At 48.8% G+C, this 19,410-nt stretch overlaps 1 protein-coding gene across 21 annotated transcripts in view, besides 3 other annotated features; it reads right to left on the bottom strand.

Annotated features, from left to right (window-relative positions):
• The window catches only part of SYNDIG1 (synapse differentiation inducing 1), a 196,988-nt gene that overhangs the window by 67,937 nt on the left and 109,641 nt on the right, over nt 1-19,410 (bottom strand). For all 21 annotated transcript variants that reach the window (NR_147606.2, NM_001323606.2, NM_024893.3 and 18 more), the window contains one exon: nt 13,687-13,824. Coding sequence is in view for 20 of the 21 variants with exons in the window: in NM_001323606.2 (NP_001310535.1) it covers nt 13,687-13,824 (138 nt within the window). In the remaining variant the exon portion in view is untranslated. The remainder of the gene's footprint in view (nt 1-13,686; nt 13,825-19,410) is intronic.
• Nucleotides 7,836-8,427: an enhancer, noted in NCBI's record as "H3K27ac-H3K4me1 hESC enhancer chr20:24570889-24571480 (GRCh37/hg19 assembly coordinates)". NCBI's record gives its function as "activates a minimal SCP1, AML or CMV promoter by ChIP-STARR-seq in primed H9 embryonic stem cells {active_cell/tissue: H9 hESC(primed)}" and the evidence as "EXISTENCE:reporter gene assay evidence [ECO:0000049][PMID:30033119]".
• Nucleotides 8,428-9,018: an enhancer, noted in NCBI's record as "H3K4me1 hESC enhancer chr20:24570298-24570888 (GRCh37/hg19 assembly coordinates)". NCBI's record gives its function as "activates a minimal SCP1, AML or CMV promoter by ChIP-STARR-seq in naive H9 embryonic stem cells {active_cell/tissue: H9 hESC(naive)}" and the evidence as "EXISTENCE:reporter gene assay evidence [ECO:0000049][PMID:30033119]".
• Nucleotides 13,203-13,703: an enhancer, noted in NCBI's record as "H3K4me1 hESC enhancer chr20:24565613-24566113 (GRCh37/hg19 assembly coordinates)". NCBI's record gives its function as "activates a minimal SCP1, AML or CMV promoter by ChIP-STARR-seq in primed H9 embryonic stem cells {active_cell/tissue: H9 hESC(primed)}" and the evidence as "EXISTENCE:reporter gene assay evidence [ECO:0000049][PMID:30033119]".

Below are 19,410 nucleotides of genomic sequence, written 5' to 3'. Positions count from 1 at the left end.
GAAAAGCAAATGAGGTCATGAATGAGATTGGACTAGAATCTGTAGGAGCCGATCCTGAGCACCTAGAGGTGCTTGTGGATTTCCTCACAGTTTCACCCACTGTGGGCCCCACCCAGTCCTGGCGTGTAGCCAACCTGCTGTGTGATCCTGAATAGCTTAAACAACCTTGCTGGGTGCTGACTTCCTCACTTGCTGGGTACAATAGAATTTTCCTATTTCAGGATTCTCTTGAAGATGAAATAAAACTCACTGTAAACTTTCTGTGAAACAGTGGCTCTGGGTATATCTGAAGGCTTTTAAAACAGCACAGACCCTGATTTGTACAGACCTGGATTCCAATTCATAAAATTTATCATCTGTAAAATGGTGATAATACTAGTACTAATTTCATGGAGCTGCTGTGGGAATTAGGTGGAATTGTGCGTCTAAAGCACTTTGCCCTTGCTGCCATTCTTGTTTCGTGAGTGCATGGCGGCAAGCCCTCCACTCCATACCCTGCACAGTGCCCGTCTGCAGCAGCGCATTTCTTGGCTCAACAGAGAACTGGAGCTGTGGCCAGCGAAGGCTTGCTGCTGACACCCAAACAGGCCCCTACTGCACTCAAAACAAGGCTGTCCTGGTGAGAATGTTATTACCCTCTTTAACCTGGGTTCCAATTTGGCTAACACAGGTTGCACTCTGAAAAAACGATTGATGTCAGCTTATTATATAACCCAAATTGTCATTTGATGTGAGGTGGTATGGACCAGAATGCACCTCTATGCTGCAGTTTTGACCTCCTTGAGTCTTAGGAGGAAAGGCAGTCTTCTATGCTTTCTGATGAAGGCACCAAAGCTATGGAGGGGCTAAGGTGCTGCTCTGATTCTTGCACACCGAGGTGACTCTCAGTTGGTGCTTTTGCTTCCAAAGGGAGAAATATCAGATGTTGCCCTGCCTCCTTCCACACCTCCTTTCCATTTCCCCCGTGTTCGCTGGCCTGGAATCACACTTCTAAATAAGGCCTCGGAATTCTAACCTTGCTGCAGGTTCTGTGTTCTAGGGAGCCCAGTTGAGTTGATGGACTCAGATATTTCTGTCCAACGCTTACCACACTGAGTGCATCACACAGCTGTCATGTTAGGGATCTCAGAGCCTCCAGGAAACACAGTGACCAGAATTCCAGCCCCGATCCACCACAGACTCACCCAGTGAGTCTGTGTAAATGCAGCCCCCTCCCAGCCTTAGCATCCCTTCCAGAACAACGAAAAAAGTGGAAGAAATGCTGTGGTCTTTAATGTCTTGAGCTCTTTGGAAAAAAGACACAAGACGGGATAAGGCAGCCAAGGGGGAAACAAACTGTGTCCTGAAATAGTATAGCAGGAACAAGGGAAAGTACACGCAGCCATTTCCATGACACAAAGCCAGAATCTTTTCTGCACTCTATTTCTTCCCTCCCAAACTGCACTTTTATGTGCAGACAAATGTACAATGGACATCCATTATCTGTCTCCTGGGGAGAGCTACTGGGACAATTCTTCCAAATGTGTTCTGGAAGAGGACCATGGAAAAGGACACGAGGGGAAGGAAGGAGGAGGGAATTCAGAGAGAAATCTGTTCATGGACTCCCAGTGGAAGACAGGGTCAGACGGCCTTCCGCACACCCAGGGTACTGCACTCCCCCCTCCTCAGCACTCAGAGCCTCTTTGCGTCCCACCAGCAAGGGGTGTGCCCCCCTTTACCATCTACACAGGCTGCAAATGCCTGAGTAAGGAGGATGCTGTGTGACCAGTGATATCCGTTGAATCCAATGGGACTAAACACGCGAACGTGGCAGGTGTCCAGTCGACGGCCAATGAATCGATCTGAAAGGGACTGGGGGAGATTGAGGATGCAGAGCTTATATGTCCCGGCACTGACTGCTGAAGAATTCTGAATGCAGGGGAAGGGCTCCAAGTGGGGTGAGGATGAGAAACAACTTGTAGGTAAAACACCACGAGTCAGGAGTGTAAGAAAAGGTTTGGAGGCCAGGCCCGGTGGCTCATGCCTGTAATTCCAGCAGTTTGGGAGGCCGAGGCGGTCTGATCACTTGAGGTCAGGAGTTCGAGGCTAGCCTAGGCAACATGGCAAAACTCTATCTCTACTAAAAATACAAACATTAGCAAGGCATGATGGTGGGAGCCTGTAGTCCCAGCTACTTGGGAGGCTCAGGCAGTAGAATTGCTTGAACCCGGGAGATGGAGGTTGCAGTGAGCTGAGACCATGCCACTGCACTACAGCCTGGGTGACAGAGTGAGACTCCATCTCAAAAGAAAAAAAAAAGGTTTAGAGATTTCACATTTAATTATCTCTTGAATGAGTAATTGGCAAAATAAACACATAAATACACATTAAAAATGAGTTGTTTTTAAAAAATCAATGCAAGGAAAATCACTTAAAACCATACACTTATATGGAAATTAAACAACCTGCTCCTGAATGACTTTTGGGTAAACAATAAAATTAGGGCAGAAATCAAGGAATTCTTTGAAACTAATGAGAACAAAGATACAACATATCAGAATCTCTGGGACACAGCTAAAACAGTGCAAAGAGGGAAGCTTATGGTGCTAAATGCCCACATCAAAAAGTTAGAAAGATCCCAAGTTAACAACTTAACATTACACGTAGAAGAACTAGAGAAACAAGAGCAAACCAACCCCAAAGCTAGCAGAAGACAAGAAGTAACCAGAATCAGAGGTGAACTGAAGAAAACTGAGGAGTGAAAAACCATACAAGAGATAAACAAATCCAGAAGTTTGTTCTTTGAAAGAATAAATAAGCTTGATAGACAACTAGGTAGACTAATGAAGAAGAAAAGAGAGAAGGTCCAAATAAACACAATCATAAATTAAAAAAACTCTCAGAGAGTACCACGAACTCTTCTATGCACACCATCTATAACACCTAGAAGAAATGGATACATTGCTGGAAACACAAAATCTCCCAAGGTTGAACCAGGAAGAAATTGAACCCCTGAAAAGGCCAATAATGAGTTCCAAAACTGAATCAGAAATAGAAAGCTTAGCAACTGGAAAGGACTATATGGCTTCACAGCCGAATTCCACCAGATGCATAAAGAAGAGCTGGTACGATTCCTACTGAAACTATTACAAAAAAGTGGAGGAGGAGGGACTCCTCCTTAACACATCCTATGAGGTCAGTATCATCCTGGTACCAAAACCTGGCAAAGACTTAACAGAAAAAGAAAACTTCAGGCCAATATACTTAATAAACATAGATGTAAAAATTCTCAGCAAAAACCACAAGCACATCAAAAAGCTAATCCACCACAATCAAGAAGGTTTTATCCCTGGGATGCAAGGTTGGTTCAACGTATGCAAACCAATAAATGCAATTCAGTGCATAAACAGAAATAAAAACAAAAACCATAAGATCATCTCAATAGATGCAGAAAAGGCTTTTGATAAAATTCAGCATCCTTTCATATTAAAAACCATTAATAAACTAGGCATTGAAGGAGCACACTCAAAATAATAAGAGCCATTTATCACAAACCCAAAGCCAATATCATACTGAATGGCAAAAGTTGGAAGCATCCCCCTTGAGAAATGGAATAAGACAAGGATGTCCACTCTCACCACTCCTGTTCAACAAAGTACTGGAAGTCCTAGCCAGAACAATCAGTCAAGAGAAAGAAATAAAAGGCATCCAAATAGAAAGAGAAGTCAAACTATCTCTGTTGGCAGATAATAAGATTCTATACTTAGAAAAACCCATAGTCTCTACCCGAAAGCTCCTAGATCTGATAAATAACTTCAGCAAAGTTTTAACATACAAAATCAACATGCAAAAATCAGTAGCATTGCTATACACCAACAACACCCAAGATTCAAGAAAGCAATTCCGTTCACAATAGCCACGAATAGAATAAAATACTTAGTAATACAGCTAACAGGGAGGTGAAAGATCTCTACAATGAGAATTATAAAATGCTGCTCGAAGAAATCAGAGATGACACAATCAACCGAAAAAATATTTCCTGCTCATGGATAGGAAGAATCGATATTGTTAAAATGGCCATACTGCCTAAAGCACTTACAGATCTAGTGCCATTCCTATCAAATTACCAATGACATTTTTCACAGAATCGGAAAACAAATTATTTTATAACTCACATGGAACCACAAAAGAGCTCAAATAGCCAAGGCAATCCTAAGTGGAAAGAATAAAGCTGGAGGCATCATGTTACCTGACTTCAAACCATGTTAGAAGGCCACAATAACCAAAACAGCATGGTATTAGTACAAAAACAGACATATAGACCAATGAAACAGAATAGAGAACCCAGAAATAAAACCATACACCTGATCTTCGACAAAGTCGACAAAACAAGCAATGGAGGAAGAACTCCCTATTCAATAAATGGTGATAGGATAACTGTCTGGCTAGCCATATGCAGAAAGTTGAAGCTGTATCCCTTCCTCACACTGTATACACGAATGAATTCAAGATGGATTAAAGACTTAAATGTGAAATGTACAATTATAAAAACCCTGGAAGATAACCTAGGAAATACCATCCTGGACATAAGACTTGGCAAATATTTCACAGTGAAGACATCAAAAACAATAGAAACAAAACCAAAAATTGATAAACCATACCAATTAAACTAAAGAGCTTCTGCACAGCAAAAGAAATGTTCCACAGAATAAACAAACAACCTACAGAATGGGAGAAAATATTTGCAAACTATTCATCCAACAAAGGTCTAATATCCAGAATCTATAAAGAACTTAAACAAATTAACAAGCAAGAAACACTTGCATTAAAAAGTGGGCAAAGGACACGATGGATTTTTTTTCAAAAGAAGACATACATGCAGCCAACAACCATATGAAAAAATGCTCAACATCACTAATCATTAGAGAAATGCAAATCAAAACCACAATGAGAAACTCTCACACAGTCAAAATGGCTATTATTAAAATGTCAAAAAATAACAGATGCTAGCAAGGTTGTGGAGAAAAGGGAATGCTTTTACACTGCTGGTGGAAGTGTAAATTAGTTCAGCCATTTTAGAAAGCAGTGTGGCAATTTCTCAACTAACTTAAAAGAGAATTACCATTTGACTCAGCAATTCCATCACTGGGTATACACCCAAAGGAATATAAATCATTCTACTATAAAGACATATGCGTGCATATGTTCATCATAGCACTATTCCCAATAGCATGGAACCAACTAAATGCCTATCAATGGTAGACTGGATAAAGAAAATGTGGTACATGTACACCATGGAATACTACATAGCTACAAACAAAAGGAGATCATGTCCTTTGCAACAACATGGATGGAGCTGAAAGCCATAATCCTAAATGAACTGACATAGGAACAGAAAACCAAATACTGCATGTTCTGACTTACAAGTGGAACCTAAACATTGAAAACACATGAACACAAAGAAAAGGAACAACAGACAATGGGGCCGACTTGAGGAAGGAGGAGGGGAGGATGTCTATCAGGTACTATGCTTATTACCTGGGTGATGAAATAAGCTGTACATCAAACTCCCATGACATGCAATTGACCTATATAACAAACCTGTACATCTACCCTTTAACTTTAAAGAAAGACAAACTGAGTTTTTCCAGCAGCAGTGGGCCAGAGTGTGGACGTTGAGCTGAAGTCCTCAGGATTTCCTGATTTCTCCCTACTTTCAGATGATTTACTGACCTCAACTTTTTCCATGGGCAAATCAACTTGTTCTTTCCATATTAAAAAACTGGGGGCCATACAGGGGTGGCTCACACCTGTAATCCCAGCACTTTGGAAGGCTGAAGCAGGAGAATCATTTGAGCCCAGGAGTTTGAGACCAGCCTGGAAAACAAAGAGAGATCCCCATCTCTACAAAATATTGAAATTAGCTGGGTGTGGTGGCAGGCACCTGTATTCCCAGCTACCTGGGAGGCTGAGGTGTGAGGATAGGTTGAGTTTAGGAGGCTGAGGATGCAGTGAGCCATGATCGTGCCGCTGCACTCAAGCCTGGGCAATGGAGTGATACCCTGTCTCAAAAATTAAATAATTAATTTTAAAAACCTGGAAAGTGGGGGCAAATCATCCAAGTCTGATTATGATGGCCCTGTTGATTAGTTCATCAACAGCCTGGCAGCTCAAGAACACAACTAAGAAAGCAAATTCCAACTGCTGGCATTGTTTGGATCTCTGGGAGGAACCCATGTCCCCACACTCTCTGAGCAATGTCTTGACGGTGGTTACAGGAAGGTTTAGGCTCTTTCTGGGAAATGGATAGAAAACATTGCATCCCACACACCAGCCATAAAGAATTAGAATTAATATCCAGAGTAAGATTGAGAAGGGAAGCACTTAATTCCTGCTGGAACAATGATGGTGTCGTGTCCCTTAATGTCCTACAAGGCTTACTTGAGTGACAAGTTTTCACACCCAAATCCCAAAATTGTTCCCTCCACCTTTGCAGAATTTGCAGAGCATCTTATTCAGAGGAGAAAGAACAGCCTGTACTTGACTTATACTTCTACTCTGCTACAGAACATTAAATTCAGGAGAAATAATAAATACCTTTAGTATATATCATTACCCAAGATAGCTTGGTTCTCTCCCATAATTAAATATGATCCAGTTTTAATGGAGTCAGAGAGAGAAGGACAGACTTATCCCTGGGAGCTGCAAGCAGGGCTGCTATTTAACTGAAAACAAGAGGCAAGGATATCAGACTTCTATAGTTCTTCCCTATGTGGGTATTTGTAATGTGAAAAGCAAGACTATGATTTCCTCTAACACTTGGGCAGTATTTGGTGGAATCTGTCACTAAGTGACATAATCACTGACCACTGACCCAGAAGTGGGCATTGATGGTGGGGGCACCGAATCCTGGCTCTACCCTTGGAAGCATGACCTGGGAACAGCTACATGACTCTCGCAGCCTAATACCTCATCTGCATCTGCCCCAAGAAGTGTGTGATGTCAACTATGTGCGAGGTGCTTGGGGGCTTTTTATTGCTCCCCTAACTGTCCCCCCATTCTCCTTCCCACTGTATTTCACAACATCTATTTTTCTCTCTTTTGGGTCATTTTCATTATGAACAAGTATGCTATCATTTCTCCCACTTAAAAGCAAAAACAAAAAACAAAAGAACACTCTTGACATGACCTCATTAAATAGCATCCCATTTCTCACTCTCCATTTACAGCAAAACTCTTCAAAAAAAAAAAGATAACTAGATGTACTATGTTCAGCTACTCTCTTTGCACTTCCATATGTATATTTAAAGACAAGGTCCCATTCTGTCACTCAGGCCTGGGTGCAGTGGTGGGATCATAGATCACAGCAGCCTTGAACTCCTGGGCTCAAGTGATCTTCCTGCCTCAGCCTCATGACTAGCTGTGACCACAGGCATGAGCCACCACGCTCAGCTAATTTTTTTTTTTAAAATTTTTGTATACATGGGGTCTGTTGCACAGGCTGGCTTCAAGCAGTTCTTCTCCCTAGGCCTCCCAAATACGTGCATTTTCTAAATGTTTTAATTGAAGTATAGTATTCTTACAGAAAAGTGCACACACACACACACACACACACACACACGAAGGTGTAAATAAAGCTCAATGAGTTTCCACAAGCATACAGCCAGTACCCAGGTCAGGAAAGAGAATGTCCCCAGCACCCACAAGTCCCTCCGCGCCCCTCTGCTGTGCCTGCTGATCCAAGTCCCAGCAGTGCAGCTCTGCATCGCTGGATGGTTCCCTTCCTCTTGCTCTGGAGTCCGCTCCTCGGTGCTGTCCCTCCCTGCATGCCTGAAGCTGCTCATCAGCGGTCAATGCTCCCACGGGCCCCTCATCACCGCGCCGGTGCTTGATCCCCAGCTCAGGCCTTACACTCCTACCCTCGGCCCAGACGTCTCCCTGGAGCCCCCATGGTTCAGTGCCTCCACGCAGAGGCCGACAGCTCCTGGAGTTGAGAGGCCCCGCTGCAGGTGCTGCCTATCCGGCTGCAGGAAACCCCTGGTCCAGGGCATCCCTCCCTTCCCTCTTCCTTTCACACTGCAACCTAAGCCCAGGGGTCATTCACCCAGAAGACACCCCGCAGCTCCCCACTGCTTATGAAATTCCCAGCCACTCCTGCAGCACAGGACTCCACGGTTCTGCGTTTGACCACTGCCGTCGTCGCCCTGCGCCTCCCCCTCCGCCCTGTTCTCTGAAGGCTCCCGGGAGCATGTGGCCACAGGGGCTTCTCCTCCGCTCAAACCCCCGAGGCTTCTTATCCCAAAGTGGAAGCCCCGCTCGGTCACAGCCTAAAGAGTCTCGGGGTCTGCCCCTGTTGGCCCCGCCTTGTTAGTTACCCCTACCCCCATTCCCCACTCCACACCCGCGGCCCCCAGCCCCGCCGCGCCGGCCCCACCTGCCCCACGTGCTCCCCCCAGGGCCTCGGCACTGCAGGCCTCTCTGTCTGGAAGCTCCTCCCCAAGGGCTCCCCCTGGCTCAACTGGCGGCTTTATCAGAAGACACCATCCTCTCCGCGAGCCCCGCCACGGCCACCCTGTTAAAAACGTTTCTCCCAGTTCCACGCTCCCCATGTCCATCCGCAGCTAATAGCCAGTGAGTAAAACGGAGAAAAGTAAAGCTGACATTGCAAGGAAGAGAGGCAGGCGACGAGCACGTTAGCTCTGACAAGCGGGATTTGGTTTGCTCTGTTCACTGCTGCATGCCTGGCACTTACTGAACACGTGGGAGGTGTTCACTAATCAGTGGGTAAATGAATGGATTCCAAGGGGCTTTGCTATTAGCTAGGTTGCACTCTTCTAGATTTTCAGTACCATAAAAAGATTCTCTTTTTTCCCCTAGTTTGCCCAATTCCCTTTGCTGGTACTATTCATAAAATTCATAATCTGCTTCCTAATACCCTTTTCTCATTTAATTATTGTTATAATGTTGCAGTTAGTAAAGGAAAGAAACATTTTATGAAATGAAATTAGATCAAGACATAATAAATGCTTGGATGCAAAGACATCTGCCAGCACAGTCAACACAGGAACCCTCGGGCCTGCCCGGCGCAGGTCCAGGCCCAATGCCCACCTTGGGGGCAGGGATCTGGCTTTGGTCCCCGGCTGCCCCCATCACATGGGATGGAGTGAAGTGCCATGAAGACCAATGCCACACCATGCTCAGACAGGCTTTCCTCCCCTGCAAGCCTTTCCAAGCAGGGTGGGGGGATGGTGAATTTAGAAGCAAGGACTGTGGTTCTATTTTCATTTGCAAACAGATAAAAGTCAAAGCTACATTGCAGAAAATATGGCTTTAAGGGTTAGAAATATTAATATTTCCCTCATGTGCCCATACTTGCTACCTCTGTGATTTCTGTTACTTATTAAATCCCTTGAAACTTCAGTTTTGTTAATCTGTAAAATGGAGATAATAATTTTCCACCTTCTGGACTCACTGCAAAGATTAAATAAGATAAAGTGTGTGCATTAACTAGCTGACAGCAGCCACTCAGCCAATTATGGGATTCATGTCTATCCTCAGTATCATTCACAAATGTCAGTTCCTAGATGAAGCCACACCACCCTAATCGCACACACCCACATCCTCCTCTGTATGAACTGGTTTACAAAGCGTGCTTGCAATGGGGGCTGGATGGAACATTGTTGGGCAAAATGAAGTTGTAGACAACATGCTGCCCTCATCTGCCCACCCACCCCCACCCCACAGCTCAGGGACAAGCCAGATGCCTCCCCCAGAGAAGGCAGGTGCTTCCGAACCTGCACATCCTGCTAGCTCCAGCCTACTGCTCACCAATGTTGGCTTTAGGCACATCTCTCAATCTCACTGAACCCTGATTTCAGCACCCATGTCATGGAGTTCCTATGAGATAATGCATGTAAGACAGCAATATTCACAACCGAGCAACATCAGAACCCAGGGCATCCCTCCCTTCCCTCTTCCTTTCACACCACAACCAAAGCCCAGGGGTCATTTCTTCCAAAAGACATCCCGCAGCTTCCCACTTCTTATTAGATTCCCAGCCGAGACTGCAGCACAGGTCACCACGGCCCCTCCCGGGTGATGGCAGCAGCATCCATGAGGAGCTGGAGGCCTCCTCAAAATGCAGATTCCTGGGCTTTGCCCCAGAGACTCTGACTGAGCAGGTGTGTGGTGGACCAGACAGTGTGCATTTCTAGCAAGTGCCTAGGGGGTCCAGGACCACATCCTGGAAGCAAGGGTGCATGGCTCCAGCGCTGAACCTGGCGCACAGTAGGTGGTCAGCCAATGTTACCCACCTCACTAACACTTTGATTACTACTGTTATGCTACTTCATGAACATATTTTTAGAATTAGCAAAATCTGCTGGGAAAGGTGTGTCTGTGTCTTTCCAGGTGTTCCTTGGCCTCTGGACCCCCAGCACCTGGAGAACTCAGGTTTCCAGCAGGGCACGACCAGCAGCAGCTGCTCTGCAGGTGCCTCCTGGGAACTTTCACTGGCCTTCATCTCTAACCCTCAGCTAACCGCACACCCTGGAAATCATTTTAACATCACTGTATGGGTCAGGAAACAGAGGCATGGGAGAGCTGCCTGCTAAATGGGACCAGGCTACAACAGGACAAAACAACATACTGGAGGTGCATAATTCTAGAGATGGCATCCCTCATTTTCTCCACTGCCCAATTTAATCAGACCACCATAAGATGTTGTTTTGTTTTTCTGTAATGGCTTGGCATGTTCCTTTGACTTCACTGAACAGTTATTTTGACAATGAGCAGACACAGCCTGACTGTCAGTGAGTACACTGTGATATGATCTGAGATAAAAGGGAAAAAAAACCCAAAGTCACACTTAGATGTCAAAGATTTCCTTGTGAATGGCACTGAGGGCCTGGAGAGCCTCAGCTCCACCAACATGCTCTTTGCCCAGGTGCATCATCCCCTTGACCCAACAAGGCAGCAGGATGTGCTGGCCACTGCGGCAGAGAGGGCTCCGGGCTTCCCCCTCTCCAGTCCTGGGCTTCGCACTCCCAGCTGGCCTCGCTTAGGAAAGCACTGATTTAATTTAGTGCAAGGATTCTCAGATTGCATCTGTTCTATTCTGTGCCACACTCTCTCCTTGGCAGCTGCCGGCTTCCCCACGATGGCCTGCTGGAGACCACGCATCTGCGGTGCGGGCTGTAAACAGAATGCTCAGCAGCCTGGTAGCCGGCTGAGGCGTCCTGTGCAGGGCTGCTTGTTTCCAGGATCTGCAGCAGCTCCCGGAACCACCACTGCAGACTGAGGGGAGCTGCCTGGGATGGGAGTTCTGATTGGAGACGGATGCAGACACAGGCCCTGCCAAGGGGACTCAGCTCCACAGGTATCTTTATAAAAGTGTTAGCACCTCTTCTCTGTTGTAGTTTTACCACAGGGAAATACATTCTCAAAGCACACTGAAAAGGGAGGCTGCAGCCAGCGGCCCTGAGAGCTCCTCTCTACGCCCATAGTGAAGGCAACACCTACACCCACCCCCGAAAATGTTTCCACTTCACCTCCAAAAAATGTGGTCAGAAGCCTCTATAGAAAGTGCATTTCCCATTTGCAGCTAAACAAGTAATAGAAATCCTCTTCACTATCTAATGTATCAAACACCATGAGTCCTCAGACCCAAGCCTAAGAGGCTCTTACTGTGTTCAGAATAAAATTACTTTCTGAGAAAGACTCTAGACACAGTCTCTGCAGTTGTAGCCTTGCTCTTTATTATTATAATGGTGATCTTTTGGATAGAGACGCTGTCCATACCTTGCCCTGCACCAGAGACTGGGGCTTCAATCTGAACACACGGAGCAGCAGAGACCACGGACACCACAAAGGACTGGTCTCTCCTTTGGCCACGTAGGCAGCCTCTCCCTGTGGCCCCTTGCCATCTATCCAGGGCTTCCATCCACCCAGCACTCTGTGGCACTTTTACAGGGATGCCTCAGCGGCTGGGCCCCATGATGGTGGGTGTGTCCCTATCCTTCCCCACATGGAGATGACGCAGGGCTGGAGTGTACAAGGGAGGCTTCGGGGGTGCGTTTGATGTCACCTGTCCAGCTCCCGGGCCCAATCTCTCCTTCCCTTGCAAGACTGCTCTTGTCTATTGGCAGCATCAGGGTGCAGTTTATGTGGCACAGCAGGCTCTGCCCACCATGGGCCTGTGCCCACACCCATTTCTCCAGCTCCTGTGTGTCCCAGTCTGGGACCTCATCCTGAAGCAGGGTTCACTCATGCCTGCATCCACTCCACAGCCACCAGGCCCTGCCAGACCCAGGAGTCAGGCTTCCCACCCCATGCTTGTGCTGATGGAGAAGGGGTTCTGTGGCATTTGTGGGACGAAGTCACAAGAGAAGCTCCGACAGACGCTCAAGATCAAAGCTGGGTCTGGAAAAACTGCTCAGCCTAGCCCCGGCAGATCAAGATTTCCCCACTGTGCCCCTCCAGCTACACCCCTGCCTGCAAAAGCTTCCCAACTTCTTGTGCCCTGTCAGGAAGCGCTTGCCCTCAGGAGGACCACAGACCACCCACCACTCTCCCCTGCTCCTCCTTGGATGTCAGAAAGAGGGGCCAGTCACCACTCAAGATGTGCAGGGGAAAACAGAAATCCCATAAAGGCAGGGCGGATTCTCCTCTCACTCGTCCAACAAACCCAACCAATACAGAAGCCATCAAGAAGCAACTGCTGGGCTCAGCCAGGAAATCTGTTTCAGACGAAGGACCTGCCAGGCTCAGTTGTGTGCAGCCCTGGTCCTGAACCCTAGAAGCTGGAGAGGGACCCTCTGTACCTTTGAGGCATCTTCAGCCCTCCCTGAGAACACCCCATGGGTGCGCAGCACCACCCCGACCCTGGGCCAGCAGAGGAGTGCTCTTTCTCCCTGTTTTGGTTGGGCAGATAGCAGTGGGCCATGGTAATGCCATCAGCTCACTCTGTAATTGGCAAGTAGAAATGTCTTTCTCTGATTAATGAAAATGTGAATATAGCTGATTTCTGAATGAGTACTCTGAACTTGCTAGAGAAAATTCCTTCCAAATATTTCAAAATGTAGGTTGCATAAGGGGCAACAAACAGGATGCTCTGTAGTGAAAAAGGCTGGGAATCGAAACCTTTAGAAGCCTTATGCTGGGGAGGAATGGCAGATGTCATGCTGAGATGTGCTATTTCCACAAGCAGGGCGTTTACCTGGGGCAGGTACATGGGGGCTGCTGTGGAACTGGAATCTATTTTACAGGAATGAGCCTTTAGCAAGGAAATCAGAACCCTACTTTTCTCCTCTCTCATTAAGTTCAATGTAGCCCACCTGGGCATGGTGTTTCCCGGCACTGGGGTCACCCCACACACACAACACCAGCACCTAAATGAAAGACAGCCTCCCAAAGGCCATGTGCCTTCTACCCAGCAGACACCGGCTTCAGTTCCAAAGCCTCTTCGGAACGCAGTCCCACCTCTGCGAGGACACAGCTGCATCTGGGGTGAGGCAGCCGGAATGCCTCCTCCCGGCCCCAGGGTGCCCCGACTTCTCCCAGCCTATCCTCCAACTGGGCAAGTGCCGACCCAGCTGTAGCAGGAGCTGTTTGGGCTTCCTTGCTTCTCCTCCTCGGCTGGGATTGCCGCCCCCACCCCCACCCTGTGAACACCTGCACACCACGTGCGACAGACCAAGGAGGCCTTACCTCATGGGACAAGTAGAAGGCTGCGATGCCCAGAGGCCAGAAGCAGCAGAGCATGGAGAAGACACTGAGGCCCAGGTGGTCCCGCGGGGGCATCATGAGGAAATTGTCCTCACTCTCTGTGTCGCTTGAGTAGTCGCTCTGCAAGAGAGAACCAGCAGGACAGGACAGGAGAGAAGATTAATAAAGGAGTCATCCTGGGGTGTCCAGGGATGTGGGATGACCCCTGGCTGGCGCAGGCCCTCCCCGGGAGGCAGCTGCAGTTGCTGACGTTGTTCGAGTCATCGTTATTGCTGCAAGTACACAGCCTCCCAGGAAGGGCAGCCAGGCCAAGGAAATGCTTGCCAAGAGCAGGAAAATAATAATGCCAAGTACGGGGCTCTTGGGTCACTCGTTTGCAGAAGAAATCCTACAGAAAGCAGTATTTCTAAGATCGCTGGGATGTGAGTGCCTGGATGGTGGGGACAAAGGATGGGACTGGGGACTTTGCAGGGACTGCCTGTAGGGACTGCCTGCCTGGAAGCCACCTGCAGAACTGGCCCCGTTGCCACCATGCACTGTCGGTGTGTTCTGAGGATGGACTGGAGACTCTCAGAAGGCATAGTCCAGGCGCGTTTTTCTTTGTATTACGAGACTTCTCACTAGCGGACAAGGACAAGGCAAGGCTGATGTGGATCGACGGAGGACATTGTCCCCTGAATCTCTCTTTTAAGTTTCTCTTGACTCTGAACTGAGTCAAGACACAGGTGGGGCCTGATTTCCACCTGGAGCACGAGGGTGGCTTCCTGAGGAGCAGAGGATGGCCCTGTGAGCCTCAGCTGTGCCCTTCTGCTCTGTGGCCTGGTGGCAGGGGCTGAGTGAGACTCTCCTGGGGGTTCTGATGGAGAAGGGGTGTGCTGGGAGCAGGGAATCAGGGTGAAGCTGGGCACAGGAATTTACTTTTTAATTTTATATTTTAAAAAGTTTTTTTTAGGTTCAGGGGTGCACGTACAGGTTTGTTTTATGGGTAAACTCATGCCATGGGGGTTTGGTGCACAGATTATTTCATAACCCAGGTATAAGCCTAGTGTGCAGCAGTTATGCTTTCTGCTCCTTTCCCTCCTTCCACCCTCCAACCTCTGGCAGGCCCCAGTGTCTGTTCTTCTCTTTGCGTCCATGGGTCCTCATCATTCAGCTCCCACTTACAAGTGAGAACATGGGGTATGTGGTTTGCGATTCCATAGTAATTTTTGAAAAGCAGCTCAGATGATTCCAATGCTGACCTAGCAAAGAGAACCACTGCCCCACCCTCCCCACAAAGGGCAGGTGACTCCTCCAGGAGGCTGAATGGCTGGGCCCTGCCTTGGTGTTTGTGCAGAGGGTGCCTCCTGTCTGTCATTCCACTGGCTGGGCTCTTTCCTCATCAAAATACGGAGCCCTCACACCAACTCTTCCAAACGCCAGGGCCACCCTGCCTAGGCATTTGTCCTATACAAAGATGGCGCCCATCTTATTCCAGATATTGTTTTCTAGGAGAGTAGTCGCTCACTTCCTCTTGGAGGAGGCCCTGGCTTCCTAGCTCTCTGCCAGCTGCCCAAGGTTGTTAAGCAGAGGCCTCCTGCCGCAAGCTGGAGCGCTTCGAGAATGACTGGCAGTGCATGGCAGTGTCAGGGCCATTTCTTCAGGAGGCTTCCAGACAGACCCTGTGAAGCCAGACAAAAGTGCAGGTGGGCCCACCCCGTGAGTGCAGCACTTGCGTGGCTGCGAGCCCGCTGCTTGCCACCGATGCCTGAGTGCCCCCAGACATTCCTCCTTACTAGCAGAAGCTGGGAAGGCCCACAGGTGACCACGGCTCCCTTTCCCATTTTTGTTAATTAAACACAAGTAAAACTGCCAATCAGAGCCTCTAATCACTGTGCAGCCAGCCGCAGGGCTGCAGTGAGACCTGAGGCTCCCTGGTACGGCATATTTTCATGGGATCAGTCCAACAATAAGGACGTCCCAGGTGGCCTCTCGTGGAACTTGGGCTCACTGTTTACTCGCCCCCCAACAAGCCTGCAGGGCAGGGACCTGAAGTGCCACTCCACCAACAGGGCAAGCAACTTGCTCAGGCTACAGTGCCAGCTCCTGGCCTCGCCCCTCCTGCTGGGCACAGGTCAAGGAGTCGCTGCCTCTGCTGTGGTGGCTGCTTCATGTGTCTGGGGCTGCGAAGCCTCTGTCCACGGAGCCAGGCTTGTGAGATTTCTCTTCTCTTTATTCTGCACATTGGCCCCCATATGGTCTCCAAACAGTAAGGAGATATGAAAATTGCCATCATTATGGCTAAGGGGGAAAAAAAGTGGAACAGCCCACAGGGATGCATAATTCACGGGGGAGTTGTGAGGCCCCAGCCTGTCCAGGTGGAGATGCTCACTTCCCAGCCTCAGGTGCTGGAGTCTGGAATCTGCAAAAAGGACGTGCGGTGGGAAGGACAAGCAGTGGGGAGGGTGTGCCACTTGGAGGATATGCAGGGGGGAGGATGTGCAGGGGTGAGGACATGCAGGGGGAAGCACGTGCAGGGGGAAGGATGTGAAGGGGTGAGGATGTGCAGGGTAAAGGATGTGCAGCGGGGAGGACATGCAGAAGGGAGGACATATGGGGGGAGGCCATGCAAGGGGAAGGCCATGCAGGGGGGAGGCCGTGCCGTGGGGACAGCATGAGAGGGGAGGGCGTGCAATGGGGAGGACGTCAAGGGGGGAGACCGTGCAGTGGGAAGTATGTGAAGGGGGGAAGGATGTGCAGTGGGGAGGATATAAAGTGGGGAGGAAGTGCAGGGGGCAGGATGTGCAGCGGGGAGGACTTGCAATCGGGAGGGAGTGCAGTGGGGAGGGAGTGCAGCAGGGAGGACGTGAAGGGGGAGGACGTACATGGGGGAGGACATGCTGTGGGAAGGCCATGCAGGGGGGAGGACATGAAGGAGGGAGGCCATGCAGCGGAGAGGATGTGCGGGGGGAGGACATGCAGGGGGTGGGACATGCAATATGGAGACTGTGCAGAGGGGAGGATGTGCAGTGGGGAGGACGTGCAGCAGGGAGGATGTGCAGGTGGGAGGACGTACAGTGCAGAGGATGTGAAGGGAGGAGGCTGTGCAGTTGGAAGGACTTGCAGGGGTGAGGACCTGCAGTAGGGAGGATGTGCAGGGGTGAGGACGTGCAGTGGGGAGGAAGTCCAGTTGGGAGGACATGCAGCGGGGAGGATGTGCAACATGGAGCACATGCAACATGGAGGAAATGCAGTGGGGAGGATGTGCAGTATGAATGGCATGTAACATGGAGGCTGTGCAGTGTGGAAGGCTTGCCCCATGGAATCTGGGTATCTGCCCCGCTGCACCTCATCACACACGGCCCTGTCGACTCCACTCTCCATCCCTCACTGAAAACATGTGGCTTCGGGGGTGTCAGAGAGCTGGTTTTGGAACTGCTGAGCTTCAGAAGGGGCTATCTCTGCAGGAGATGCTCGGGAGGTCCAATCTCTGACAAACCAACCCATGTCCAAGACTCCTGAAAGCAGCAGAGCCAGGCTGGGGAATGGCCATTTCTCCAGTGCGCAGCTCAGCCCTTGACCTCAGGGAGCACGGCAGCCATGGATCCCGACGTATCCTTGCAAAAAAACAAAAAATCCGCCTGTCTGTTTATTTATCTTTTAGTTTCTTTATTTTTAGTTTACAGATGGTGTTATTACTATCTTCATTGTCATTGTCGTTTATGTTTTACAAAGGACAAAGCTGAGGCTCCAAGAGGTTAAAACACGTCCACTCACAAACCATCCTGTGAGTGGCTGCTGGAGTCTGGAATCCCCGATGCCAGCTGCGCACCCAGGGCTCTGAGCTGCGTGCTGGGTTTGCACATGGCTGCTTTGGCTGCACACAAACCCCACTTTGCCTCCATTGCTTCTCATGAGAAGATGAGGTGTCTTCCTCCCCTCTCCCTGCCAGGACTCTGATGACTCTGCTTCTTGCTAAGTCTGTCTCATGGTGGTGACGGAGAGGCCCATGGCAACAGTGAGGTTTTCCCGATCTTAGTCAACGCTTGGGGAACCGTTGACCCGGACCACGTAGGCACTTGGAGGCATTGCCTTCCATCTTTAGAAATTGCTTTAGCATTACACAGTCCCCAAGAAGCAAAGATTTAGCTTTCAGGGCACTCCTCCAGTCTTCGCAGATTTTAATTTAGAAGCATAAAGGAATCACACTCTGTAAATTACCAAGCTGAGGCTAGATGACATCAAAATAATTTGTCAACTTTGATTGAAATAGATTTTAAAAACTGAGGGGTGGGCATGGTTGTTCACACCTGTTACCTCAGCACTTTGGGAGGCTGAGGTGGAAGGATCACTTGAGGTCAGGAGTTCGAGACCCGCCTGGGCAACATGGTGAAACCCTGTCTCTACTAAAAAAATATAAATAGCTGAGCTTCGTGGTGCATGCCTGTAGTCTCAGCTACTTGGGAGGCTGAGGCAGAAGATTGCTTGAACCCAGGGAGTGGAGGTTGCAGTGAGCCAAGATTGCATCATTGCACTCCAGCCGGGGCAACAGAGTGAGGCTCCGTCTCAAAAATCAAACAAACAAACAAACAAACAAAGCTCAGACAAATTACAGGGCAGACAAAAACACCCCAGCTCTTTTCTTTGTTCCTCTTCTGCCAGGAATGTTCTGGAGTATAAATGGTTGTGGGCATCATGCCACTCGCGAGGAAGGAGAGGAGACGAGGCTGGCCTAGGAGAGGCCACACAAATACCAACAAGCCAAGCAGAGAAATACACACAATCCCCAACACCAAGAAAGACTCATCACGCACTGCAGCTGTCTTAAAGAATCCTCTTCATGAGTCATTTAATCTGTACATCTGCGGACTGAAAACATTGCGAAGGAGTCTGCAATTCATGCAGAGGTCCCATAGTTTTGAGCTAAAGCCAAGGCAGAGAAAGGCAGGTGCCCTCCAGGGCCGCCCATTCTACTGCATCGCCTGCCTGTTCTAGCCCAGTTTTCCTTACCTCCACAGAGAGAGAGGGCTCTCAGTTCCCTCGGGGTTTTCTTCCTGGGAATATTTTAACAAAATAATCATAGCGCAGGGCATGACACCAAATGTTTGCACATCACAATGTTCAGCATTCATGGCAGCTTTGTGAGCAAGAGTGTGAGGCACCTGTTTCAGGAGTGGGAAGCTGAACACCACCCATGGCTCACTTCTCTGTGCTCACCGACTCTGGTGAGCATCTCACGCACCATCCAAGGGTGGCGGTCCCAATGGCCACATCTGCACTGAGGAGCCTGGCAGCCACTGGCCAACGTGGAGCTGTGTCCGCTTAAAGTGCTCACAAGTACACACAACCAACACTGGTCCCTCAGTGACACCACATGCTCAGGAGCCACACGTGTCCCATGCCTGTCACGTGGGACAGCACAGATGCAGAACGTTTCCACCACCTCAGAAGGTCCTATTGGACTGTGCCGTTCGTTGTATAGAGCACCTTTGACATAAGTGACTCCATCTTAGAAAGACTCCATCTTATATTTCATAGGGCAACAGAGTTTTCAAACAGAGACCAGAGTTTTTTTGCCTGATCAATAAAGGCTGCATCCAACCAGACAAGGATTTAACCAAGCACATTCTGCCACTATTAGTCCTCACCAGAGGACTCTGCAGCCATAAAAAGAGCAAGACTTCAGCAGCTCGAAAACAGTCATTTTAACAGACACCATCTTGCCAT

This window comes from Homo sapiens, chromosome 20 (assembly GCF_000001405.40).
Source record: "Homo sapiens chromosome 20, GRCh38.p14 Primary Assembly".
NCBI lineage: Eukaryota > Metazoa > Chordata > Mammalia > Primates > Hominidae > Homo > Homo sapiens.
This window is presented reverse-complemented; position numbering and strand designations above follow the sequence as displayed.